The sequence below is a fragment of the Homo sapiens genome, chromosome 9 (assembly GCF_000001405.40).
Source record: "Homo sapiens chromosome 9, GRCh38.p14 Primary Assembly".
Taxonomy (NCBI): Eukaryota; Metazoa; Chordata; class Mammalia; order Primates; family Hominidae; genus Homo; species Homo sapiens.
In genome coordinates, this window is record NC_000009.12 from 304,218 (window position 1) to 329,255 (window position 25,038).

The 25,038-nt window shown below is 42.5% G+C and overlaps 1 protein-coding gene across 17 annotated transcripts in view; it reads left to right on the plus strand.

Moving 5' to 3' along the window:
- DOCK8 (dedicator of cytokinesis 8) overlaps nt 1-25,038 on the plus strand; it is a 253,999-nt gene that overhangs the window by 92,961 nt on the left and 136,000 nt on the right. For all 17 annotated transcript variants that reach the window (XM_017015173.2, XM_047423927.1, XM_011518045.4 and 14 more), the window contains 5 exons: nt 364-487; nt 7,737-7,949; nt 12,826-12,911; nt 21,454-21,520; nt 23,805-23,954. In XM_017015173.2, the coding sequence (XP_016870662.1) occupies nt 364-487; nt 7,737-7,949; nt 12,826-12,911; nt 21,454-21,520; nt 23,805-23,954 (640 nt within the window). The remainder of the gene's footprint in view (nt 1-363; nt 488-7,736; nt 7,950-12,825; nt 12,912-21,453; nt 21,521-23,804; nt 23,955-25,038) is intronic.

Here is a 25,038-nt window from a genome sequence, read left to right on the forward strand (position 1 = left end):
CTATTTGTGGCTTCTGCACATTGCTAGATTTATTCCAGCCACTTACACTAGGGTCATAGTTTAGCTTCAGCTCGGAGCCAAATGCCCCACAGCTGAAATGACCGCACCTCTGAAGTGGCATTTTCCCAGGCCATGCCTCCCTTTAATAATGAGCCAGCCAGGGGGTAAATTTGTATCTCATTACAACAGAGCCTTGTATTAGGCCTGGAGAATAATTAAATGTGAGGAATTATAATTGGTTCCCTCTTTGAAAGCTCTCTCAGCACCATGTCTACACTTAAGCCATTACTTTTATTTTTAATCTAATGGTTTGCCGCTCTCTCTCCCTCTTTCTCTCTCCAAATTAAATATCAACCATAAAAGAAACCAAGGAAGTCCAGAAATCTGTGGCTTTAAAAAGACTGGATCTCGAAAAGATTTTCACAAGACGCTTCCGAAACAGACGTTTGAGTCGGAAACCTTGGAGTGCAGTGAACCCGCTGCTCAGGTATTTCCTGTCAACAAACATGGTTACCAGGTTACTGGGCTCTTCTGCCCAGGGCATGCTGTCAGTTTTACAAACTAGAATAAACGATAGACGCATAGAAAGTTTGAGTAGGAGGAACTTTACCATCTGAGTCAGTGATTTTTTTTTTCAAACTTATTTGTAGCTGTAGAAATTGGTGTTCAAATGAAAACCCAGAAACCCAATGATTAAAATAGAAAAAAGTGGAAAAGCTCTAACTGGGGGACAGAGACACCTTGGGCCCATCCCTACGACAGTTCCTGCAGAGACTCTTGGTGCCCCTAAGGCAAACTACAGAGTAATGAAAAGCTCTATGCTGAGGCCAGAATACCTGCATTCTCCTAGTGATTCTACCATGTACTAACTCTCTAACTTCAAGCAGGATAATTAAACTTATTGGGCTTCAGTTTCCTCCCCTGGGAAACAAGGATGGTAATACTAACTCATGAGGTTATTTGAGTATTAAATGAGTTAATATCCATAAAGAATTAGAATAATGCCAAGTACACTTAGTGCCTAGTCAATGCTGGTCACTGTTATTGTTATTGTCATTATTCTTTTTCTTTTTTTTTTTTGTTGAGACAGAGTCTCGCTCTGTCGCCCAGGCTGGACTGCAGTGGCACGATCTTGGCTCACTGCAAGCTCCGCCTCCCGGGTTCACGCCATTCTGCTGCCTCAGCCTCCCAGGTAGCTGGGACTACAGGCTCCCGCCACCACGCCCAGCTAATTTCTTTTTGTATTTTTAGTAGAGACGGGGTTTCACCGTGTTAGTCAGGATGGTCCTGATCTCCTGACCTTGTGATCCGCCCGCCTCGGCCTCCCAAAGTGCTGGGATTACAGGCATGAGCCACCACGCCTGGCCAGTTGTCATTATTCTTATAAAGTAATTACAGTTTAAAATTCAAGTTAAAGTGTACATATTGTGAAATGAGCTTTTAACACTATTCTGTAACTAATTTTTTAAATGCCTGGGGTCATTTGAAGAACTCCAGCAAACACTCTAACAAATAGAAGACAGAAAGAAAGCAAGCCTTCATTTGCATAAAACGGCCAAAGAACAATAGCCAAATAAATTCCATGTTTCCAAAAGTTAAGCTCTATACACCTATGCTCACAGCAGCATTATTCACAGCAGCCAAAAAGTAGAAGCAGCCCAAGTATCCATCCATAATGAATGGATAAACAAAATGTGGTCGCCAGGGGCTGGGGGAGGGAGGAGTAGGAAGTTATTGTTTAATGGGTAGAGTTTCGGCATCCCAAGATGAACAGCATTATGGAGATGGATGCTGGTGATGGTTATACTGCAGTGTGAATGTGTTTAACACTACTGAGCTGTCCAACCTGCCCATTTTATAGATGAGAAAAATAAAATTGAGAAGAAAAAATTTGTTCAAGTTTGCACAGAACTTCTTGTAAACTAATATAGTTTTCAGCTTCCATGTGTCTTCATAATACAGGAATCTCACCATGCTGGAAATGATTCGAGGTTTTTAAATAATACTAATTTTTCAGACAAGGTGGTCCCCCTAAAGCAAAGCCCACTACTTACTTGGAGCTTCACAGTAGAATCAGCCATCATTTCCAGCGCTAAATATGACAGGCTTACTGAGGGATAGAATACCTGGATGCTCTGCTCTATGGGAGATTTAAGGAATTTTTCATCAGTAATTTTGACTGAATTCCATTTTCACCCTACATGCTGACCAATTAAATTGTTCCTCTTAATGTTAGTCAGATAGAAGCCACGGTAGGTATTTCAGCAGAAGAAATTTAACACAGGGAATTGATTAAACCGGTTTTGGAGGTCTGAGAGAACCAAAAGGGAAAAATGGAGGCTATCCTAAAATCGTCATTATGGGAAACAGCACACCAGCCTGGGGCTGGGGTATACGGCAGTGGTTCTCCACTTCAGCTTCATCAGAATCTCCCAGAGGGTTTGTTCAAATATAGGTTGCTGGGCCCTGTCTGCTGGAATTTCTGATTCAGTAGGTCTGGAGGGTGAACCTCATACTTTTTAATTAGCATTTCCTAAGTGATGCTGATGCTGCTGGTCCCAGGACCACAATTTGAGGACTGCAGGTCTAGGGGAAGATCTTGGAGTTGTCAGAACGTAGAAGCTCAGAAGAGGAGCCTGAGAGCAAGGACTGAAATCCCTGAGAAGGTACTGCCCAGCTGGTGGTGTTGTCTCAAGATCTCAGAGGGAAAAACCTCATGAAGCCTGGACTCACGCCTCACAGGAGGAGAAATTGCCCGGCTGGTGCTGGTACCTTCAAGGAGGTAAGATAAGGGTGATTCTGGAAGTACCAAAAGAACCTGAAGGCTAGAACCAGCTGTCACTACGAAGGTGAGAGGAATAGCAAGAGGAAGGAGCCAGGCCCTTTGACCTCCTTGAACCATCCGGTAACCCTGTAGTGCTCCCTATTGACAGAACCTAAAGGGAGCAGCAGACACAGCGGAAATATGATTTGCTGACCTAGCATCAAAGAACAAGGCATAAAAGGGTGAATTTGGAGCCCAGAAACAATAGGTGAAGACCAGCGTACACACAAAGCACACGCTTTCCTGCAGCATACTAGCAGAGAACTCAAGTCACTGTGTTGTGTGTGGTTTTTTTTGTTTTTTTTTTTTTTTTTTTTTTTTTTTTTTTTTTTTTTGAGATGGAGTTTTGCTCTTATTGCCAGGCTGGAGTGCAATGGCATGATCTCGGCTCACTACAACCTCCGCCTCCCAAGTTCAAGCGATTCTTCTGCCTCAGCCTCCCGAGTAGCTGGGATTACAGACATGCGCCACCACGCCTGGCCAATTGTGTATTTTTAGTAGAGACAGGGTTTCTCCATGTTGGTCAGGCTGATCTCGAACTCCTGACCTCAGGTGATCCACCCACCTTGGCCTCCCAAAGTGCTGGGATTACAGGTGTGAGCCACCGCACCCGGCCCACTGTCTGTGTTTAAGAGCCAACTTGATCATATGATCCAGCAGTCTCACTACTAGATATATGTCCAGAGGAAAGGATATCAGTATATCAAAGAGACATCTGCACTCCCATGTTTATTGCAGCACTATTCACAGTAACCAAGACGTGGACTCAACCTAAGTATCCATCAGCAGAAGAATGGATAAAGAAAATGTGGTATGTATACACGATAGAATACTATTCAGCCATAAAAAAATGAAGTCCTGTCATTTGCATCAACATGGATGAGTCTAGAGGATAAGTGAAATAAGCCAAGCACAGTAAGACTAATACTGCATGATCTCACTTATATGTGGAAGATAAATAAGTTGATCTCATAGAAGTAGAGGGTAGAAGTGGTAACTAGATGCTGGGAAGGATGGATGGAGAAGGGAATAGAGAGGTTGGTTAACGGTTACAAAATTATAGCTAGATAGGAGGAATAAGTTCTAGTATTTGATAGTACTGTAAGGTGACTAGAATTAATAATAATTTATTCTGTGTTTCCAAATAGCTAGAAGAAAGGATTTTGAATGTTCCCAACACAAAGAAATGATAATTGAGGCAATGGGTACACTAATTACCCTGATTTGATCATTACACATTGTACACAGGTATTGAGATATTACACTGTATTCCATAAATAGGTACAACTATTATGTGTCTATTAAATTTTTTTAAAGAGCCAAATTGTACAAAAGTTGTTTGTTTTGAAATATTGGAATAATACTCATCATGGAGAGAATCTCAGACTGCGAGATGACAGCAATGTTTTCAATTCCACTCTCATTCTTGTGCACCTTCTTATTGAGTAGAATGGTGAGGCCACATAGCTAGATTTATAAAATTTAAACAAGTATATGATAAGATTCCTTGGTACACGTAGATTTTATAAAAATTAGATTATATTATGCATAATATTGCAAAACTTCCTTTTTCATATTAGCAATATACTGTGATTATCTTTCTCTTCCAATTAATACGTGTTCTTTCTTTTTTAGAGACAGAGTCTTGCTCTGTCGCCTAGGCTGGAGTGCAGTGGCACGATCTTGGCTCACTGCAACCCCTGCCTCCCAGGTTCAAGTGATTCTCCTCCCTTAGCCTCCCGAGTAGCTGGGACTACAGGCATGTGCCACGACACCCGGCTAATTTTTTGTATTTTTAGTAGAGACGGGGTTTCACCATGTTAGCCAGGATGGTCTTGATCTCCTGACCTCATGATCCCCCGGCCTTGGCCTCCCAAAGTGCTGAGATTACAGGCATGAGCCACCGCACCTGGCCAGGTTCTTTCTTTTAATGGCTACATAACATTCTATTTTATGAAAGTTCCAAAATCTCTTAACACTTCCTTTTTGGGGGCATTTAGTTTACTTCTATTGTTTTGCTATCACGAACAGTGTTTCAGAGATGCCCTTGCCCTCACATTCTTGCACACTTGCCAGTTATACCCTACGGATAAATTCTTAGAAGTGAAATTTCTAGATTAAGGGATGAGTAATGTTAGATTTTTTTACTTATATGTATCTTGATATCCTTTTAAATAAATTTGGGAAATTAAAGTCATTTTCCTTAAACTCTTATAAATTTTAAGAAAAACAAAAGTATTAATAATCGAAGTGTTAATATTGATTATTTCTAGCACATTCAGTTTGGGGAAAATTTATGATCTAGTAGAGTAGTACTTTTGTGAGGTAGATGTCACAAAAAATGTGTAGTATGGAGAAATTGTCCAGTAGTATGTCCATTTAGTAGAATTTTGAGAATAACATTTTGCCATAAATTTTATAGATATTTACCATTAATCCATTTGTAGTCCTACAACATATAGTTGATTACAGTTATACATTTTTTGCTGAGTCTTTGGTTCAAAGCATGCAGTTCCCAATTACAAAGACATTCCTAATGGAATAAAACATCCACTTTGTGACTGATTTAAGGTTGTTTTCTTAAAGCACACCGCAGCCAAAAGTGGACACAGCTTGAATAGCAAATTTTTTCCTTTTTGTTGTTGTTGCTTCATCCAATAACTGTTACCAAATTCCCGTAGAAAAGTGTTGCCCACTCCCACATCGACCTTTGGAAGCATAACATTCAGCTTTGGTGTCTATACACAATTTAATTTGGAAGGCTCCTCACAAATCATCTTATTTTCCAGTTTCAAAAACCAAGTTCTGAGTGGAGATTAAGACAGGGTCTCTTTATTTCCCAGTGCAGTCTCCTATCTATTTATTTGTGAATGAATGAATTAGTTAATTAATGAGCCAGGGTTTCACTTTGTCACCCAGGCTGGATTGCAGAAGAAGTCATCGTGGCCAAGCGTGGTGGCTCATGCCTGTAATCCCAGCACTTTGGGAGGCCAAGACAGGTGGATCACTTGAGGTCAGGAGTTCAAGACCAGCCTGGCCAACATGGTGAAACCCTGTCTCTACTAAAAATACAAAATTAGCCAGGCGTGGTGGCGCGTGCCTGTAATCCCAGCTACTCAGGAGGCTGAGGCAAAAGAATCACTTGAACCTGGGAGGCAGAGGCAGCAGTGAGCTGAGATTGCGCCATTGCACTCCAGCCTGGCCAAAAAATGTGAAACTCCGTCTAAAAAAAAAAAAAATCCAATCTTTCCTATTGGCTTTATTAAATACACTTTAACTTTAGAAGCTTAGAAGCACAATAATTAGAACTGGCCTAACTTTAAAAAAAATTTTCACAAAGAAATTAGTAACTTGTAGGGTCATTTGTAATCTTTTTCTCTGTTGATTTTTACAGTTTTAAAAAGTTAATACAATAATTTATTTACTTATTTTTTGAGACGGAGTCTCGCTCTTGTTGCCCAGGCTGGAGTACAGTGGCACCATCTCGGGTCATTACAACCTCCACCTCCCGGGTTCAAGCGATTCTCCTGCCTCAGCCTCCCAAGTAGCTGAGATTATAGGCACTGGCCACCATGCCCAGCTAATTGTTTTGTATTTTTAGTAGCGATGGGGTTTCACCATATTGGCCAGTCTGATCTTGAACTCCTGACCTCAGGTGATCCGCCCACCTCGGCCTCCCAAAGTGCTGGGATTACAGGCATGAGCCCAATATTTTAAAAATAGTACATTATTACAGAAGCTAGATGTGCACTTTAAATTATTATCAGAAAATTAGTATGACAGACAAATTCTATGATTGTCCCATCATCTGGGCCTGTGACATTCACACCTTTGTGATGTTCATCCCCGACTGTGGGTGGGACCTGGGACTTGCTTCTGTCAAAACAATATGGCAAAGCATGAGAGGATGTCACTTGTGATCATATTAGATAGCAGCCAAAATGGATTAAAGACTTAAATGGGGCCGGGCGCAGTGGCTCACCCCTGTAATCCTAGCACTTTGGGAGGTTGATGGCGGCGGATCACCTAAGGTCAGGAGTTTCAGACCAGCCTGGACAATATGGTGAAACCCTATCTCTACTAAAAATACAAAAATAACCAGATGTAGTGGCGGACGCCTGTAGTCCCATCTGCTAGGGAGGCCGACGCAGGAGAATTGCTTGAACCTGGGAGGCGGAGGTTGCAGTGAGCTGAGATGGCGCCATTGCACTCAAGCCTAGGTGTCGCAGCAAGACTCGGTCTTTAAAAAAAAAAAAAAGGTAATCATACCTCACTGCAGCCTTGAACTCCTGGGCGGGGTTCAAGCAGTCTTCCTACCTAAACCTCCCAAGTAGCTAAGACTGTAGGTGCACGCCACCATGCCTGGCTAAGTTTTGCTTTTTTTTTTTTTTTTAAGAGACTGAGTCTCATTGTGTTGCCCAGGCTAGTCTTGAACTCCCGGCCTCAAGCAGTCCTCCCACCTTGTCTACCCAAGGACTGGGATTAAAGGCATAAACCACTGCACCTGGCCCAGTCTCCTTTTTGTTACAACTTCCTCCAGCTCTGTTTTGCTCTGGTGTGAGACATGAGCATGGTTCATTAAGAGGCTTGGCCCCCCCAGCCCCAGGAAAGAACAAGCCAACAACCGATAGGAATGTAGTACTGTTTTTAGTCCTTTCCTCAGGACTGGTTTGTCTGCATAAGATGAGTAACTACCTGCTTCCAGGTGAGAAGAAGACATTTAATTTTAGAGTAGTCCAGCCAGGAAGCTGAGATGTCATTCTTATCAAATCCGCAGTTTCTTCAGAAGACTTGAGGCCTGGCTGAGATTCTGTAGTCCCAAATTGGAGCAGTCTTGAGACATCCAAGATTCTTCGGTTCTCATTTTAGACTTGCCGTCTCTCTCACAAAGACCCACTGTTTTCTCTCACAGGCAGGCCCCCGCCACTTAAACGTGCTGTGCGACGTGTCTGGGAAAGGCCCCGTCACTGCCTGTGACTTTGACCTCCGCAGCCTGCAGCCTGACAAGCGGCTAGAAAACCTCCTGCAGCAAGTGAGTGCCGAGGACTTTGAGAAGCAGAACGAGGAGGCCCGGAGGACCAATAGGCAGGCCGAGCTCTTTGCCCTTTACCCATCAGTGGACGAGGTGGGTGCCACTGTTTCCATACTGGAGAATCTCAGTGAAGACTCTGAGAGTCATGTGGACAATTGTGTTGTTCATTATTACTATATAGCAGCCCATGGTGTCAGGGCTCACTTGTATGATTTCTGGGGCCTCGTTTTTCACTCAGGCAAGCCTGTGTGTCATAGCAGAGCCATTATTGATTATCACACAGATGGGATTCTGATAATAATAACAACTGGAATTTTCATAGCACTTTACAAAATATGTTCACTAAGAGCATCTCATTTAATCCCCAAATGTTTCAAGGGTCTACATGTAGTAATCACACCCAGCAAGTCAAACCATCCTATTATTTGAGGGGATGTGTGGTCACTAATCCATTGAGACATACATTACTTAAACTTTGATGTTCTTTAGTGCTTTGTTACTTTCTTTTTAATGGTCTCTATGAGCAACCAGAGAGACCTGCTTTGAAAACATTTCAGGCTAGGATAATCACAGCCCATGCTCCCAATGTATAGAACTTTGGGATCTTGATTGTTTACTTCTTCATTTATTGGAGCTGACTGACAACAATAGGATAATGTAGACTTTGCCTGTGGTCACTGCCTGAGGCACTTTGGATGAAATGAGAGGTGACGATTATTCAAGCCTTTTGTCTGTTTGAACTCCTTATACTGTATAGGAGGCTCTCAGTTTTCCCCTCTGCGTGAGGTTATCTACACTTCTGGGTCTTGCCAGAACAGATTACTGCTATATCTCTGCTGTCCAAATGGTATTGAAAGTTCAGTTGGAAGAAACAGGATTTGAGGAAACTGCATAAAAGATATTCTATCCATCCATGCCTCTAAATATTTGAAATTCGATCCTTGGATTAAGTGAGACAATCAGAGAGCCTGATACCCCCACCCTTCTGGATTGTGTTTGCTAACCTGCCCTTCAGTGAGCTCACGACTGGTCAGCAAGGAGGACAATAAAGGAAACAGCAGTCATGAGATAGGATATCACGTCCACATGGAAATACTATTGTTGACATTGACCTACTCACCATCTAGCACCTTCCTCTTTGATGATCTAAAGGGCAATTAGCCTTCACATCTTCCGAGAAAGAAGAAGCACGCTTCTGCTGAGATAATACAAACACTTAGAGATTGTGCTCATTTTGTAACTAACTCTCTTAAGTTCTTTACTTAGAGCAAACTTCTGTCCACCTTCACCAAATGTGGCAACTTAATGATTGGGGTCCTGAATTTACTCCAGCTTTCTTTTCTTTTCTTATCCTGATTTTCTAAGCACCTTGGTTTCCTCATCTATTTTTATTTTATTTGCAGTTTTTGTCAGCAGCCTCAAATGGTCTTCTGAATGAGGCAGAATATAAAAATAAATTATCTCACTTATATATAGAATCTAAAAAAGTGGATCTCATAGAAACAGAGTAGAAAGGTGGTTATAGCAGGGGCTGTGGGGAGAGGGAGAAGGTGTTGGTCAAAGGCCACAAAGTCTCAGGCGGGAGGAATACGTTTTAGTGACCTATCGCACTGCACAGTGACCAGAGTTAATAATAATGTGTTACATATTTCAAAACTGCTTTAAAAAAGGATTTTTAATGTTCTCATCACACACACACAAAAGGTAAGTTGGTGAGGTGATAGATATGTTAATTAGCTTGATTTAATCTTTCTACAATGTATGCATAGATCAAAACATTACTTGATTTAATCTTTATACGATGTATACATAGATCAAAACATGACACTGTACCCCATAGATGTTCACAATTACTACTTGTCAATTAAAAAATAAATTAATAAAGTATGAATAATGTGAGCAATATCATCATCTCCTTTCCTCAGATTAAAAAGCAACAATTAGGCTAAAGAGCTTTTTCAAGATTCAACAGATAAATTAAATTACAAAATGGGGCCCTAACCCGCTAACTACAAAGTTCGTGTTCCCTTGTTTATGTATCTACATACATATGACTACCTGGTATGTTGGGACACATAACTGAAATCCAAATATGATATTTTTAAATATCATGTAACTTTTTAGTTTCCATCCACGACATTAAGACTTTTTACCAGATTTGTCAAAACATATTAAATCAGACTGATTTGGCCTTTACTTTCCTTCCTCTTCCTCTCAGTTCTGTGATGGAGATGCCAACATGTAATAGAGGGACCCAAAGTGGATGCCAGAAGAGAGAGAACAATTAAAGGATGCAGAGAATATGTCCAGTGAGACGTTTGCTTGTCAGTGTCTCCCTGGTGGTATTAGAGGGGAGAATGTTCCATCTGAACAGATTAAAATAATGAAACGTAGCCTGGTTTTAGAGGAACTTTGTTTTATGATCTTTGAAACAATGCAGACGCTCCATTGGGACTGAATGTTATAATCTGGGAGCAGGCCTAATGGGGCCTGCTTTTATTGAGTAGAGAGAAGTGCTTCGTAATTAGTGTTGCAGTTATTTGTAAACTGGCGTGTCTAAAATGCTTGAGGGCCTCTATACCAGCCCTTTAATATTTTGAAGCTGTTGTCACAGAAATTGCATTTGTATTTATAATTTGTGCTTTCTCCAAAGAAAGTTCTATGGAAGAAAGGTAAATTTCTGCCTACTCTGACATGATTACAAATGCTGGTTTTTTCGATGACACAATCAGATTTTTAAATATATCATTACTTGATTTCCCTGTAAGGAAAGTTAGAAGAGAGGTAAACTAGTATATCCAAGTTATGGCTGAGTCTACAGGAGAAGCAAAAGTTGGACTTAACCACCAAGCTTCTATAAGGCAAGTTCTTTCCCTAATTCATTCTGAGTCTACAAAAGGCGGTTATTCTACAAAAGGCATTCTATGTCAATCCCTAAGAAAGATTCCACTGATACTCCAAATTATAGAAAAGTTTGCTGAGGCTGTTGGTTACAAGTGACAGAACCCAACTAAAACCAATTCAGAAAAAAAGGCTAGGGGAGTACTTCTTGGCTCACCTAAGAAAATCACAGGTAGGCAAATGTGGAGTTGACCTCTGGATCCATTGGGAGAGTAAATGAAAGAATATCATCTCTCTCATACTGTCTCTTTCTCTCTCATTATCTCTTTCATTCCGTTCATTTATATATATTTTTAGGATGATGAAAACAAGAGGTATCCATTAATGTTTCACATTTCCACTTTCTGTTTGCTTGGGAATTAGTTGCCATTTCAGTTAGCTATAAAGCCTGAGGAAATTCATATAGCTTAGAAGAGACTGAGGAAATATATCACCCAAATGTCATATGTGGACCTTGTTTGGATCTTGATTTAACAAAATAACAGTAAAAACAAATTGAGACAGTCAGGGAAATTTGAAACTGACAAAAATTATTTAGTGGCAATAAGAAATTATTAATTTTTAGGCATAATGGTATTGCTGTATGTTTTTAAAAGTCTTTATCTTTTAAAGATATGTACTGAAATATTTATATATGTATATGGTCTCTGGGAAGTTGCTTCTATGTAATCCAGTATTGAGCGAGAAAGGTGGTAAGTGGGTAAATAGATGAAACCAGAATGCCCCTGAATTGAACTTGTTGAAGCTAGATGATGGGTGAATGGTTCTTCATTGCATTGCTCTCTCAACTTTTGTGTATGTTTAAAATTTTCCCAATGAAAATCTTTTTTAAAAGGATTTCAAAAATTAGAATCTAGACCAAAGGCAGTCCCAGAAATCCATGAGTGTCTCTACCTTCAGGTTGTTTTCCAGTTAGGGAGATCTTCCCTTTAGATATGTCTGTTCCAATGATCCTAAAAGGTCCAGATTGCCCTGAGCGAGTAGGCATCAAAACAATGTCTCCTCTGAAATAAACTCAGCCATTCCACCCAGCAACATGGCCAACCGCCGTAACCACAAGGAATGGGGACCACAGGGAGAGGTTGGAGTAATGATGAGCTTACCACATTGATCATTCCATCAAAGTGGGTACATATTTACCAGGAAGGTGACTTTACTGCTATTTGCAAGAATGTTAAGCTTGCTGTGGGGTATTCACTGGAAAGCTCCCAGGAAAAGACAGTGAGATGTGACCCTGTTCTTTGGACCCTTGCGATGGGCAGAGCACTCACCAGTGTTTGGAAAGCATACTGCAAGAGTGGGAATTACTGTTTTCAAGGATTTGCACTACTTATTTTTGCATACATGAATATAATTAACATAGAATGATAGTTCAGATACAGATGTTAAGGTTACAATAGGGGCTTGATATTTCTCTTTAAGTGTTTAGTTTCTGTGCGGTAAAATAAACAGGTAGAGCTCTTAATTTGTCATTACTAAATTTCATATACCTAGCACTTTAGGAAGCTCTAACTGCATAAGCCTGTCTAGAACTTGTCAATTCAACCCCAAGTCTCTATCATCTGTTTAAGAAAACAGTGAACTGAGAAAGTGACTCTGTATTATAGGATCAATGGTTTACAGCCTTAAGTGAACCATTCTGACTCAGATTTCAAATCTGAAACTCACATACTTACTAGTAAAGCCCTTGACAGGAGAAATATTGCAAATGTGTAATTAGAGTGGGCAAAAAACACACAAAAACATCAACAATAGGTATAAGATTTTGCAATGCCATCTGGTGGATGTTACTAAGCCATATCCATGTTCACATTTCCTTCCTTCCTGCTTCAGTCTCTTTGTCTTGAATGCTTGGGTTTCTAAAAGGAGAAACTGTTTTGCTGCAAATGCTGGCTTTGAGGTTGGGGGTTGGAAGAGAAACTTTCTTATAAAAGGCAGAGTGTTAGAAAAAAAGCAAATCTAAGTTAACTTGAGCCGTGGAGGGTAGCCTTCCCTTCCCTGGGTTAACTCTAATTGGAGCTCCCCACAGAATTCACTAATGATTTCCTTACGATGTGATTAAAAATAGGAGGATGCTGTGGAAATACGTCCAGTACCAGAATGTCCCAAGGAACACCTGGGCAACAGAATATTGGTCAAGTTGCTGACCTTGAAGTAAGTATCAACAAACACACTGCCACCGCTTTGAGATTTATCTTGCCTTTTACATACAAATGTTGTGTTTATTATCAGAGCTTGAATCAAAGCGGAGCTCCCAAAATACGTCTAACAGTGGGCAGCTGTGGAGTAGTAGAAAGGGCACGTTTGAGTCCATTCCTGGATTTTTTTTCTACCAACTTCTTGATGGTCATTCTTCTACAATAGAGAAGGCAAACACACGTGTCTACTAAAGTTAGGCAGGTAAGGTCATTGAGTGAAATGACCTACATTAAGAAAAATAGCGCTTAAGTCAGTGGTGTGCTGGAGTCGACTGTACTAACTCGTGAGATCTGACAGTGCATATCTCTTCCTGGGTTCGGTGAAGTCACATTGGTAACTTTAAATTGGCCATGGCGAAAGTATTTACAATGTAGAAATCAGCCAATGCTACACGTTTGCACCACCCTCAGCACCCGGAGATTATTTGTAAAACATTTACCAGTATGCCACTGTTGAAACACAATGATAAATGCAACTGAAACTCAGTGCCAGGGGACAATAGGGAGTGGTGAGGACTGTAGTAAACTATGTTAAGGGGGCACTCACTGCTAGCAACAGACTCTTGCCATCCAAATAAACAGGCCCATTTTTGTCAACTGTCTTTTCTATTTTTTCAAGAGAAGCTGAAAACCCAGATTTTTCTGCATAATATACCGACTCCCTAAATATGTTCTCATTCCCTTTATAAACACCATATAATTAAAACACGACTACAGTCTGGTTTCATCTTGTGGGCCAATTATTTGCCACATCTACTTCAAAGTAGTTGCATCCAAACGTTTCAATTGTATACTATGATAGCAAAAAAAAAAAATCCTCTATAGACATGTATTAATTTTGTACTTTCATATTAAAATATTATCTACATTATAAAACATAATAGAAATTTTAAAGATGAACTAGATAAATCTATATAAATTCTAGTATTTTCTTCTTCCACTGCAATAGATTGTCTTGTGTACCCTCGGAGTGCCTCCATACCTCTCTTCGTCTCTGCAGACTGCTATTTTCAAGAATTAGTTCTCCTTCAAATCCACAGATGAAAACTTTAAAGTTGTACATATTTTACCTAAGCAAAACTACAGAAGCGTAACATTTATTTATATACTATTAGATGGGTCATCCATCTCTCAAAGTCACTTCATAGGTCCCTTCAGCGGCCCCTGGTTTGCAGTGAGAAGGCATCTGGATTCTGGATGTAAGGCTGGGTTTCAACCCCTGGGAACTTCCCTGGGATTTTGAGTTCTTCCCTATAAATGAAGTTGATAGACCTTATGGTCTCAAAATTCCTACCTACCACAAACTTCTATGATTCTAACGCATAGCCTCTGCCAACTTCTTCTGCCTCAGAAAACAAGCCAGCAAGTCTGCTCACACAGCTATGGGTGGTCTCTTGATATTATAGTCTCCTCCCGCTGGCCAGTTCTACCAGAGGGTCTTCAGGGCCTTTTGTACGGAGAAATGAGCAGCCCATAAACCAGCTGAGTGTCAAGTAATGGGCACAGAAAAGCAAGCTCTTGCCCTTGCAAACCAACCTGGCAGTGGGAGCTTCCTCATCTGTCTGGTTGGCGGGAGGACTGAGTGGAAGTGGCTCTTCCCCTCTGCATTGTTTAGGAAGCCTTCGCTATTGTCTGAGGGACACACCTGCCCCGACAGGATGCATCATCAGGCTACTTTTAGATGCAGCGACTATGTCATTTGAGATGGCAGAAATTCTCCTCTATGGTGCTCATAGCCAAGCTTTCTAGACCTCTCCAGTGAATGAGAGGCAGCTGTTCTCACAGGTGGGAAAACATGGTCACTAAGAGAGATATGTGTTATTTTAAAAAAATGTTAATGGAGGCCAAGTGTGGTGACTCACACCTGTAATCCCAACACTTTGGGAGGCCAAAGTGGGAGGATCGCTTGAGGCCAGGAGTTTGAGGCCGGCCTGGGCAATATAGTGAGACCCCCTCTCTACCAAAAACTAACAGATGTGTTAATTTTTAGCCCTAGCTACATTGGGAGGCTGAGGTGGAAGGATCGCTTGAGGCCAGGAGTTCAAGGCTGCAGTGAGCTATGATCATGCCACTGTATTCCAGCCTGAGTGACAGAGTGAGACCCTGTCTCTAAAATTAAAAAAAGAGGAGTCACTTGAATATCTCTTAATGAAAATTGTAAAGTGCAGTTTCTAGTGATGTCCCCGCAACTGCCAAAGCAGAAATTAAGTCGAATTGACATATTTGCCAGGTGCACTTGGCCTGCTCATGTGTTTTAAATAGTATCTATACTAACCTATAACTGCAAGAGAAGAGATAGACCAAAAAGACAGCCCTCCGAGTAACTACTTAGAGTAAACTAGATGAAAGAAAGAAACAAATTCTTATAGGTAAGCCTAGAATGTGACAGTATGAATAGTAAAAATATAAGGGTAATATTAATGGCAAATGTTTTCCCATTTACATTGATATGTAGGATTCTATTCATAATACTACATGTTTTAGCCCCTGAGGAATTTGTTTAAAGTTGTAGACATCTGTAACTGTCTCTGTATTGCTTTTCAGAAATATAGAAACCCTCAAAGATACAGAGAGAATTAGGGTCCTGCCAATTCTGCAAATGTTTGTAACAGAAAAAAAAAAAAAGAATGACAACAAAGTATTTTTCTGTTTTGTGTTTTAAATGGAGAAATATTTTAAGATTTAATACCATCTTATGAAAAGTAATCTCAGCTCTTAGGAGTCTTCTTGATGGTGAAACTTTAATGTGCAGAAAATTTGCCCAGGCAGTTTCTTTTAAATGCAGATTTTGGAGGACCTTCCATAACAATCTCCCTCAAGAGATTCTGGTTGAGTAGGTCTCAGGTGGGATCAAGAAACCTGCATGCTGGCTAACTTCTTTTGCTTCAAAATGCTAGATTCTGGGGACTACACTTAAAGAACAAACACTCACGGAAAAAGCCCAGGTTCTGTGATCAGAGATGGCTGGGCTCAAAACCTGACCGAACACTCACGGAAAAAGCCCAGGTTCTGTGATCAGAGATGGCTGGGCTCAAAACCTGACCGAACACTCACGGAAAAAGCCCAGGTTCTGTGATCAGAGATGGCTGGGCTCAAAACCGGACCGAACACTCACGGAAAAAGCCCAGGTTCTGTGATCAGAGATGGCTGGGCTCAAAACCTGACCGAACACTCACGGAAAAAGCCCAGGTTCTGTGATCAGAGATGGCTGGGCTCAAAACCTGACCGAACACTCACGGAAAAAGCCCAGGTTCTGTGATCAGAGATGGCTGGGCTCAAAACCTGACCGAACACTCACGGAAAAAGCCCAGGTTCTGTGACCAGAGATGGCTGGGCTCAAAACCTGACCGAACACTCACGGAAAAAGCCCAGGTTCTGTGATCAGAGATGGCTGGGCTCAAAACCTGACCGAACACTCACGGAAAAAGCCCAGGTTCTGTGATCAGAGATGGCTGGGCTCAAAACCTGACCGAACACTCACGGAAAAAGCCCAGGTTCTGTGACCAGAGATGGCTGGGCTCAAAACCTGACCGAACACTCACGGAAAAAGCCCAGGTTCTGTGACCAGAGATGGCTGGGCTCAAAACCTGACCGAACACTCACGGAAAAAGCCCAGGTTCTGTGACCAGAGATGGCTGGGCTCAAAACCTGACCGAACACTCACGGAAAAAGCCCAGGTTCTGTGATCAGAGATGGCTGGGCTCAAAACCTGACCGAACACTCACGGAAAAAGCCCAGGTTCTGTGACCAGAGATGGCTGGGCTCAAAACCTGACCGAACACTCACGGAAAAAGCCCAGGTTCTGTGACCAGAGATGGCTGGGCTCAAAACCTGACCGAACACTCACGGAAAAAGCCCAGGTTCTGTGACCAGAGATGGCTGGGCTCAAAACCTGACCGAACACTCACGGAAAAAGCCCAGGTTCTGTGATCAGAGATGGCTGGGCTCAAAACCTGACCGAACACTCACGGAAAAAGCCCAGGTTCTGTGATCAGAGATGGCTGGGCTCAAAACCTGACCGAACACTCACGGAAAAAGCCCAGGTTCTGTGATCAGAGATGGCTGGGCTCAAAACCTGACCGAACACTCACGGAAAAAGCCCAGGTTCTGTGATCAGAGATGGCTGGGCTCAAAACCTGACCGAACACTCACGGAAAAAGCCCAGGTTCTGTGATCAGAGATGGCTGGGCTCAAAACCTGACCGAACACTCACGGAAAAAGCCCAGGTTCTGTGACCAGAGATGGCTGGGCTCAAAACCTGACCGAACACTCACGGAAAAAGCCCAGGTTCTGTGACCAGAGATGGCTGGGCTCAAAACCTGACCGAACACTCACGGAAAAAGCCCAGGTTCTGTGATCAGAGATGGCTGGGCTCAAAACCTGACCGAACACTCACGGAAAAAGCCCAGGTTCTGTGATCAGAGATGGCTGGGCTCAAAACCTGACCGAACACTCACGGAAAAAGCCCAGGTTCTGTGATCAGAGATGGCTGGGCTCAAAACCTGACCGAACACTCACGGAAAAAGCCCAGGTTCTGTGATCAGAGATGGCTGGGCTCAAAACCTGACCGAACACTCACGGAAAAAGCCCAGGTTCTGTGACCAGAGATGGCTGGGCTCAAAACCTGACCGAACACTCACGGAAAAAGCCCAGGTTCTGTGATCAGAGATGGCTGGGCTCAAAACCTGACCGAACACTCACGGAAAAAGCCCAGGTTCTGTGATCAGAGATGGCTGGGCTCAAAACCTGACCGAACACTCACGGAAAAAGCCCAGGTTCTGTGATCAGAGATGGCTGGGCTCAAAACCTGACCGAACACTCACGGAAAAAGCCCAGGTTCTGTGATCAGAGATGGCTGGGCTCAAAACCTGACCGAACACTCACGGAAAAAGCCCAGGTTCTGTGATCAGAGATGGCTGGGCTCAAAACCTGACCGAACACTCACGGAAAAAGCCCAGGTTCTGTGACCAGAGATGGCTGGGCTCAAAACCTGACCGAACACTCACGGAAAAAGCCCAGGTTCTGTGACCAGAGATGGCTGGGCTCAAAACCTGACCGAACACTCACGGAAAAAGCCCAGGTTCTGTGACCAGAGATGGCTGGGCTCAAAACCTGACCGAACACTCACGGAAAAAGCCCAGGTTCTGTGATCAGAGATGGCTGGGCTCAAAACCTGACCGAACACTCACGGAAAAAGCCCAGGTTCTGTGATCAGAGATGGCTGGGCTCAAAACCTGACCGAACACTCACGGAAAAAGCCCAGGTTCTGTGATCAGAGATGGCTGGGCTCAAAACCTGACCGTGCCAGTCCCTAACTGTGTAGACTTTGGCAAGTTCCTTATTCCCTGGGAACCTTGCTTTCCTGGTGTGTTAAATGCAGATAATATCTGCATTACGCTGTAGTTGTGTAAAGAGACTGATGTGTGGAAAGCACTTATTATAACACAATTTTAAGTCTTTAATAAATGTCAATTCTCTTTTTCTTTCTCGGAACCACAGAGGACTTACTACTCAGTACCAACCTAAGTATATCACAGCAATATTCAGGCCCTTTGTGTAGTAGGGAGTAAACAATTAAATATAGATTGAGCATGCCAGGCAGCAGCTGGTGAGCCTAGGCCCAGGAAAGCCTCCAATTGGCCTGGTGCAGTGGCTCACACCTGTAATCCCAGTACTTTGGGAGGCTGAGGCAGGTGAGTCACCTGAGCTCAGGAGTTTGAGACCAGCCTGGACAACATGGTAAGACCCCATCTCTACTAAATATACAAAAATTAGCTGGGTGTGGTGGCACATGCCTGTAGTCACAGCTGCTAGGGAGGCTGAGGCCGAAGAATCGCTTGAACCTGGGTGGCGGAGGTTGCAGTGAGCCGAGGTTGCACCATTGCACTCCACCCTGGGTGACAAGAGCAAAACTCCATCTCAAAAAAAAAAAAAAAGAAAGCCCCCAATTAATGTGCAATTACCTAATAATAGAAAGAATAATCATAGAAATCCTCAACACTGGGCTTTTCGGTGGTAAAATGTATGTAACATAAAATCTACCATCTTTTTTTTTTTTTTTTTTTTTTTGAGACAGAGTCTCACTCTATTGTCCAGGCTGGAGTGCAGTGGCATGATCTCGGCTCACTGCAACTTCTGCCTCCCAGGTTCAAGTGATTCTCCTGCCTCAGCCTCCCGAGTAGCTGGGATTACAGGCACTTGCCACCACGCTCGGCCAGTTTTTGTGGTTTAGTAGAGACAGGGTTTCACCGTGTTGGCCAGGCTGGTCTTGAACTCCTGACCTCATGATCCGCTTGCCTCGGCCTCCCAAAGTGCTGGGATTACAGGCATGAGCCACTGCGCCTGGCCAAAATCTACCATCTTAACCATTTTTAAGGTACAGTTCAGTGGTGAGTACATTCACATTGTTCTGCAACCATCACCACCATCCATCTCCAGGAATTTTTCTCTTCCCAAACTGAAACTCTGTACCCGTTAAACAATAACTCCTTATTCTCCCTACTCCCCAGCCCCTGGCAACTCCCATTCTACTTTCTGCCTCTATGAATTTTACTACTCTAGGTGCCTCATGTAAGGGGAATCATGAAGTAACTGTCTTTTTGTGACTGGCTTCTTTTACTCATAATGTCCTCAGGTTCATCTATATTGTAGTATGTATCAGAATCTCCCTCCTTTTATGGCTAAATAATATTCCATTGTATATATGTAGCATATTTTGTTATGGCCTCATATATGTATCTGTTCATGGACAAGTGGGTTACTTCCACCTTTTGGCTATTGTGAATAGTGCTGCTACTTGGCATTGTTTTTAAGATACATTCACACACATCATTATACGTGATCCTCACAACAACCAGGAAAATGGAAAGGCAAGCATCCTTACCTTATTTTGCAGATAAATAAATGGAATTCAGAAAGGCGAGTAACCTGATTAGGGTCGCAGAATTAGCAGATGGTGGAGGAGGAACAGAGTCCAGGTCTCTGCCTGGGTGCCCTGGGAGTCTGCCATGATTCCAAATTGCCTCATTTCCAAAGGCGCCATTTGAGCAAATAACCCTTTTTGTCTGTGCTCATATTCTGTCCAAATATTCTTCTAAAAAGTCCTCTTTTGAGACAAAGCTATCCATTGATGAGGACATCCTCTCACACATACCTGGAGACAAAACATGACTTTATTGACATGATGTCTGAGGTAATGGTGGACTGGGGCCCTTTTCCTGGTGCTCTCTGCAGGTAACATCCAAAGCCATGGGACATCAAGCTGAGAAACTTGGAAGACCTTCACCAGTGTTCCATGTGCACCTGTAATGTCCACCAAGATACTAAAGGCAAATAATGCACCAGGATTATGCTTTGGGATTCACCGTTTCGAGGGGAATTGGCAATTAGGGCCAATATGAGGGCTCATCTTTCTAGCTCTCATGGGGCCCAGGCACCTCAGTGTTTATCTGCTGTGCTCAAGCCCCTCCCTGACCTCAACTCAGCAACTCCCCAGTAATGGAGTTAGGAAGGGCCAGACATTCATCCCCATCAAAACCCAGCCTTCTTCTGACTGTCCCACTACAAATCTAAGGAAAAGCAATTGAACTTTTCTTTTGTTGCCATCTGAAAAGCCCCATTCCTTAGAATTGAATAATACAGATTCTATCCTTTAAATTTTTTTATTTCAATGGCTTTAGGGTAAGTGGTTTTTGGTTACATGGATGAATTGTATAGTAGTAAAGTTTGAGATTTTAGTGCACCCGTCACCCAAGCAGTGTACATTGTACCCAGTATGTAGTTTTTTTATCCCTCATCCCCCTCTACTCTCCTGCTTCTGAGTCTCCAAGGTCCATTATACCACTCTGTTTGCCTTTGTGTACTCATAGCTTAGCTCCCACTAACATACAGCATTTGGTTTCCATTCCTGAGTTACTTCACTCAGAATAACAACCCCCGGCTCCATCCAAGTTCCTGCAAAAGACATTAATTATTTCCTTCTATTTTATGGATAAGCAGTATTCCATAGTGTATAGATACCACATTTTCTTTATCTACTCATTGGTTGGTGGGCAATTAGGTTGGTTGTTGGTTCCATATCTTTGCAGTTGTGAAACAGATACTATCTAGCAATAAAATGTGAAATGTGAACAAGTCCATTACCTCAGACAGAAAGTCTACCCTCTGAAAACACAGTAGTTACAATAAGAAGGTGAATCACACTAAAGGTCCATTCAGCCCACTCTCTCTTGCAGTGAGTGAGTGAATGAGTGAGATATTCCAAAAATATCCACCATGCTTTTGTAATGTCCACCATGATCTCAAATGATTAGGAATTTTTCACAAACCTCCTATATTTCTCTATTAATATCCCAGTGCGATTCTCATATACTTGGAGTTTTCCAAATATTTCGGGAAACTGCTCATATTTTTAACCAGTTTATCTATCTAGGTGTTTTCAGAAAATTCAAAATTATCTAACTCAAAGCCACATAGATTTTCCTCTCTTTCTATGGTAGGTTCGAGATTGAAATTGAGCCCCTGTTTGCCAGCATTGCCCTCTACGATGTTAAAGAAAGGAAAAAGGTAAGAAAGCAAAGAAAAATCCATCCCTAAGGCACATATATTGTTCATGATTCTTTGCATGTATGTTTTTAAATTTCTTTGCAGCAAGAACCTATCAGATTTGAAAGCAAATGATCTTTGATGAGTCCAGTTCTGTTGCCTTTGCAATTTTTCAAGCAGTGGTCTGAGAATGTAATTTATGATCTTTGAAGAATTTTAGAGGGAGAGGCTACTGGAGGTGCTGGCCTGGTTGGAATAGAGAAAGAATGAAATAGCGCATGGGGTTATGTATAAAACAAACCCATTTAAATACATTTTTAACAAGCTTGGATGCGCATGTAAAGCTTCCTCAGTTTGAGAGTTCTTTGCACTGTGAAATAGGCTCATGACTGAAGGGCATCTTACATGGTAGAGGTCTCAATTTGTCACAGAGTTCAGACCTTACCAACTGTAATGTGCTTTTAATGAAAACAGTGACCAAGACCTCTCGTGTGTTTTTAATGTTTAGTCATTTTGTGACTCCTAGAAGAGGACAGCAATAGCAAATCCAGAGTAGGATGGACACTTCTGCCCTTCTTTACCCATAATCATTCTGTATTTAAGGAAACAAGCATCTCCTGCATAAATATTAATAATCACTGAGATTTGTAGGATAGGTTAACTGCTAAAACAAGCAGAACCCAATCTCAGTGGTTTAAAGCAGTAGTTCTCAAACTTGAGCATGCATCACAATCTCCTGGAGGACTTGTTAAAACACAGATTGCTGGACCTCACCCACAGAGTTTCTGATTCAGCAAGTCCAGGTGGGGCCTGAGAATTTGCATTTCTAACAGTCCCCTGCTGATGCTGAAGCTACTGGTCAGGGGACCACATTTTGAAAACCGCTGGCCTATAAGCAAGAAGTTGCTGTCTTTGTTTCTTTAACCATCCAGGGTGGGAGGAGGGACCCCTCTGTTCCACGCAGCCACTCAGAAATACAGGCTGGCAGTGGCTCCTCCATCTTCAGTATGTTCTCTCCCCAAATTACTCTTGTCACTGCCATTGCTGCCCCTGAAGAAGAGAAAAGAAGGATGGAGGAGGCCTGGAAGTTTGATACATTGCTTCTGCTAACAATTCACTGGAGAGAATTGAGTCACATGATCACCCCTCATTGCAAAGGAGGCTGGTAAATGTAGTCTCTGCCTGGGCAGCCACTCACCACTAAAATTCTCATGGTGATGAAGGAGAGAACCCAACCATACAGTGGCTCTTAAGTAATACGACACTAAGAGAGCCAGGAGCACTGTTCACATCATGCTCTTGCTCAGAATCTTCACTAAGATTCATTCCCTACAACCAGGCTTTCTTCATGATGGCATTCCTCTACCTTCTTTCCATCCATAGTCTATGCAGAGTCAAGCTAGACCGCTGACTAAGCTTCCCCCAGCCGTTCAAGCCTCTGAGATATTTATTCATACTCTAATCTCTCCCTGGCACATCATCACCTTCCACCCCTGCCTATCAGAATCTTCTAAGGCCCATCCATCTCCAGTGCTGCTTCCATGAAAAGTTGTCCTTGTCACCCAACTGCAAATGGCCTGTCACTCTGGAACTTCCACAGTGCTTCTTTGTATGCATGTGGTGACTTGTATTTTGCTTTTACTGTAGTTAGTTACATGTTTACCTTTTCCCTCACCTTTTTTTTTTTTTTTTTTTGAGTCAGGGTCTCACTCTGTTGCCCAGGCTGGCATGCAGTGGGGCGATCTTGGCTTACTGCACCCTCTGCCTCCCGGGTTCAAGTGATCCATCCTCCCACCTCAGCGTCCCAAGTCGCTGGAACCACAGGCACATGCCACCATGCTGGCTAGTTTTTGTATTTTTTGTAGAGGCAGGGTTTCACCATGTTGCCCAGGCTGGTTTCAAACTCGTGAGCTCAAGCAATGTGCCCGCCTTGGCCTCCCAAAGTGCTGGGATTACGAGTGTGAACCACCACACCCAGTCCTTCCCTCATTCTTGATTGTGAATTAATTGAGAGCAGAGGTCCTCCTCTTCTGTAGTGAAGTAACTGATACTCAGGAAATACCGGTGGGTTAATAAACATTTAAATGTTTCAAGGAACATCTCTCAAATGGCTCCAGAATACCTAGACATTGTGACAAAACATTTGTCAGATTTATCCAGGAGCCACTTTCCTAAACCACATCTGTGATTATTACACTTACTCCTTCAGCAAAATTTCTCTGTGGTGTTTTTACTCCTTTTTAACATGTTTAAACCATGAATGCAACAGGTCTAACTTATATTTCACTTTGCTGCTCATTTACAGATCTCAGAAAATTTTCACTGTGACCTGAACTCTGACCAGTTCAAAGGATTTCTGCGAGCTCACACGCCTTCAGTGGCCGCATCAAGTCAGGCGAGATCTGCAGTCTTCTCAGTCACCTACCCGTCCTCAGACATCTACCTGGTAGTCAAGGTAATTCAGTACGATCTGATTTGCCCAATCTGATGTTTTCATTGCTGTGTTGTTCCCAGCACATGTTTGGGGTGCACGCAATCTCAGAATGTGTCCACATATCCTCTGAGATTCACTTTGTTTCCTTCTCAGTTTACCCCTTTTCCGTTCTAAGTAAACTGTTTCAGATACTAGAAAGACTAGGTTTTGGAGACACACAGACCTAGGTTTGAGTCCTGGCTTTACAACCTAGTAATTAAATGGCATTGGCAGTTTCCTGGTCTTTCTGAGACTGAGTTTCCTCATCTGTGAAGTGGAGATAATCACACTGACCTCAGTGGATAGTCATGACTACAGAATAAAGCTTGGCACATCTTGGGCACCCTTCTCCTAATTAAGGAGAGTTCCCTCAGTGACCTGGTGCAAAGAAGCTGCTGTGGAGAAAGGAACAAAATCTCTGGGCTAGAGTTTCCTAACGATGTTCATGTTGCTCTAGAGATGCATAGTTACGTGTTCCCAAGTCCAGCCTCTTACAAGCTGAAGCGTGGGCTGTGGTTTTCAAGTTTCATCCTCCTTTTTTTTTTTTCTTCTTACCATGTCACAGACTGTCTCTAATGAGAGTTGAAATCTATGGGGCAATTGTAAGTAGAAGAGCCTTTCATTCTAGGCTATACTCTTTGCTGTTGTAAGAAAACCAGATCCTTTCTCTGTACACCAAAATGACTGGTTAGAAATTAACAAACATCAGGTATTTTACCTACCTTAGGCCAGATAATTGGTCTTATTGATTCTTTTTTTTTTTTTTTTTTTTTTTTTTGAGAGGAGTTTTGCTCTTGTCACCCAGGCTGGAGTGCAGTGTCACCATGTCGGCTCACTGCAACCTCCACCTCCCGGGTTCAAACGATTCTCCTGCCTCAGCCTCCCGAGTAGCTGGGATTATAGGAGCCCACCACCCCAAACCAGGCTAATTTTTGTATTTTTAGTAGGGACAGGATTTCACCATGTTGGCCAGGCTGATCTCAAACTCCTGATCTCAGGTGATTCACCTGTATTTGGTTCCCAAAGTGTTGGGATTACAGGCGTGAGCCACTGTGCCCGGCCGTAA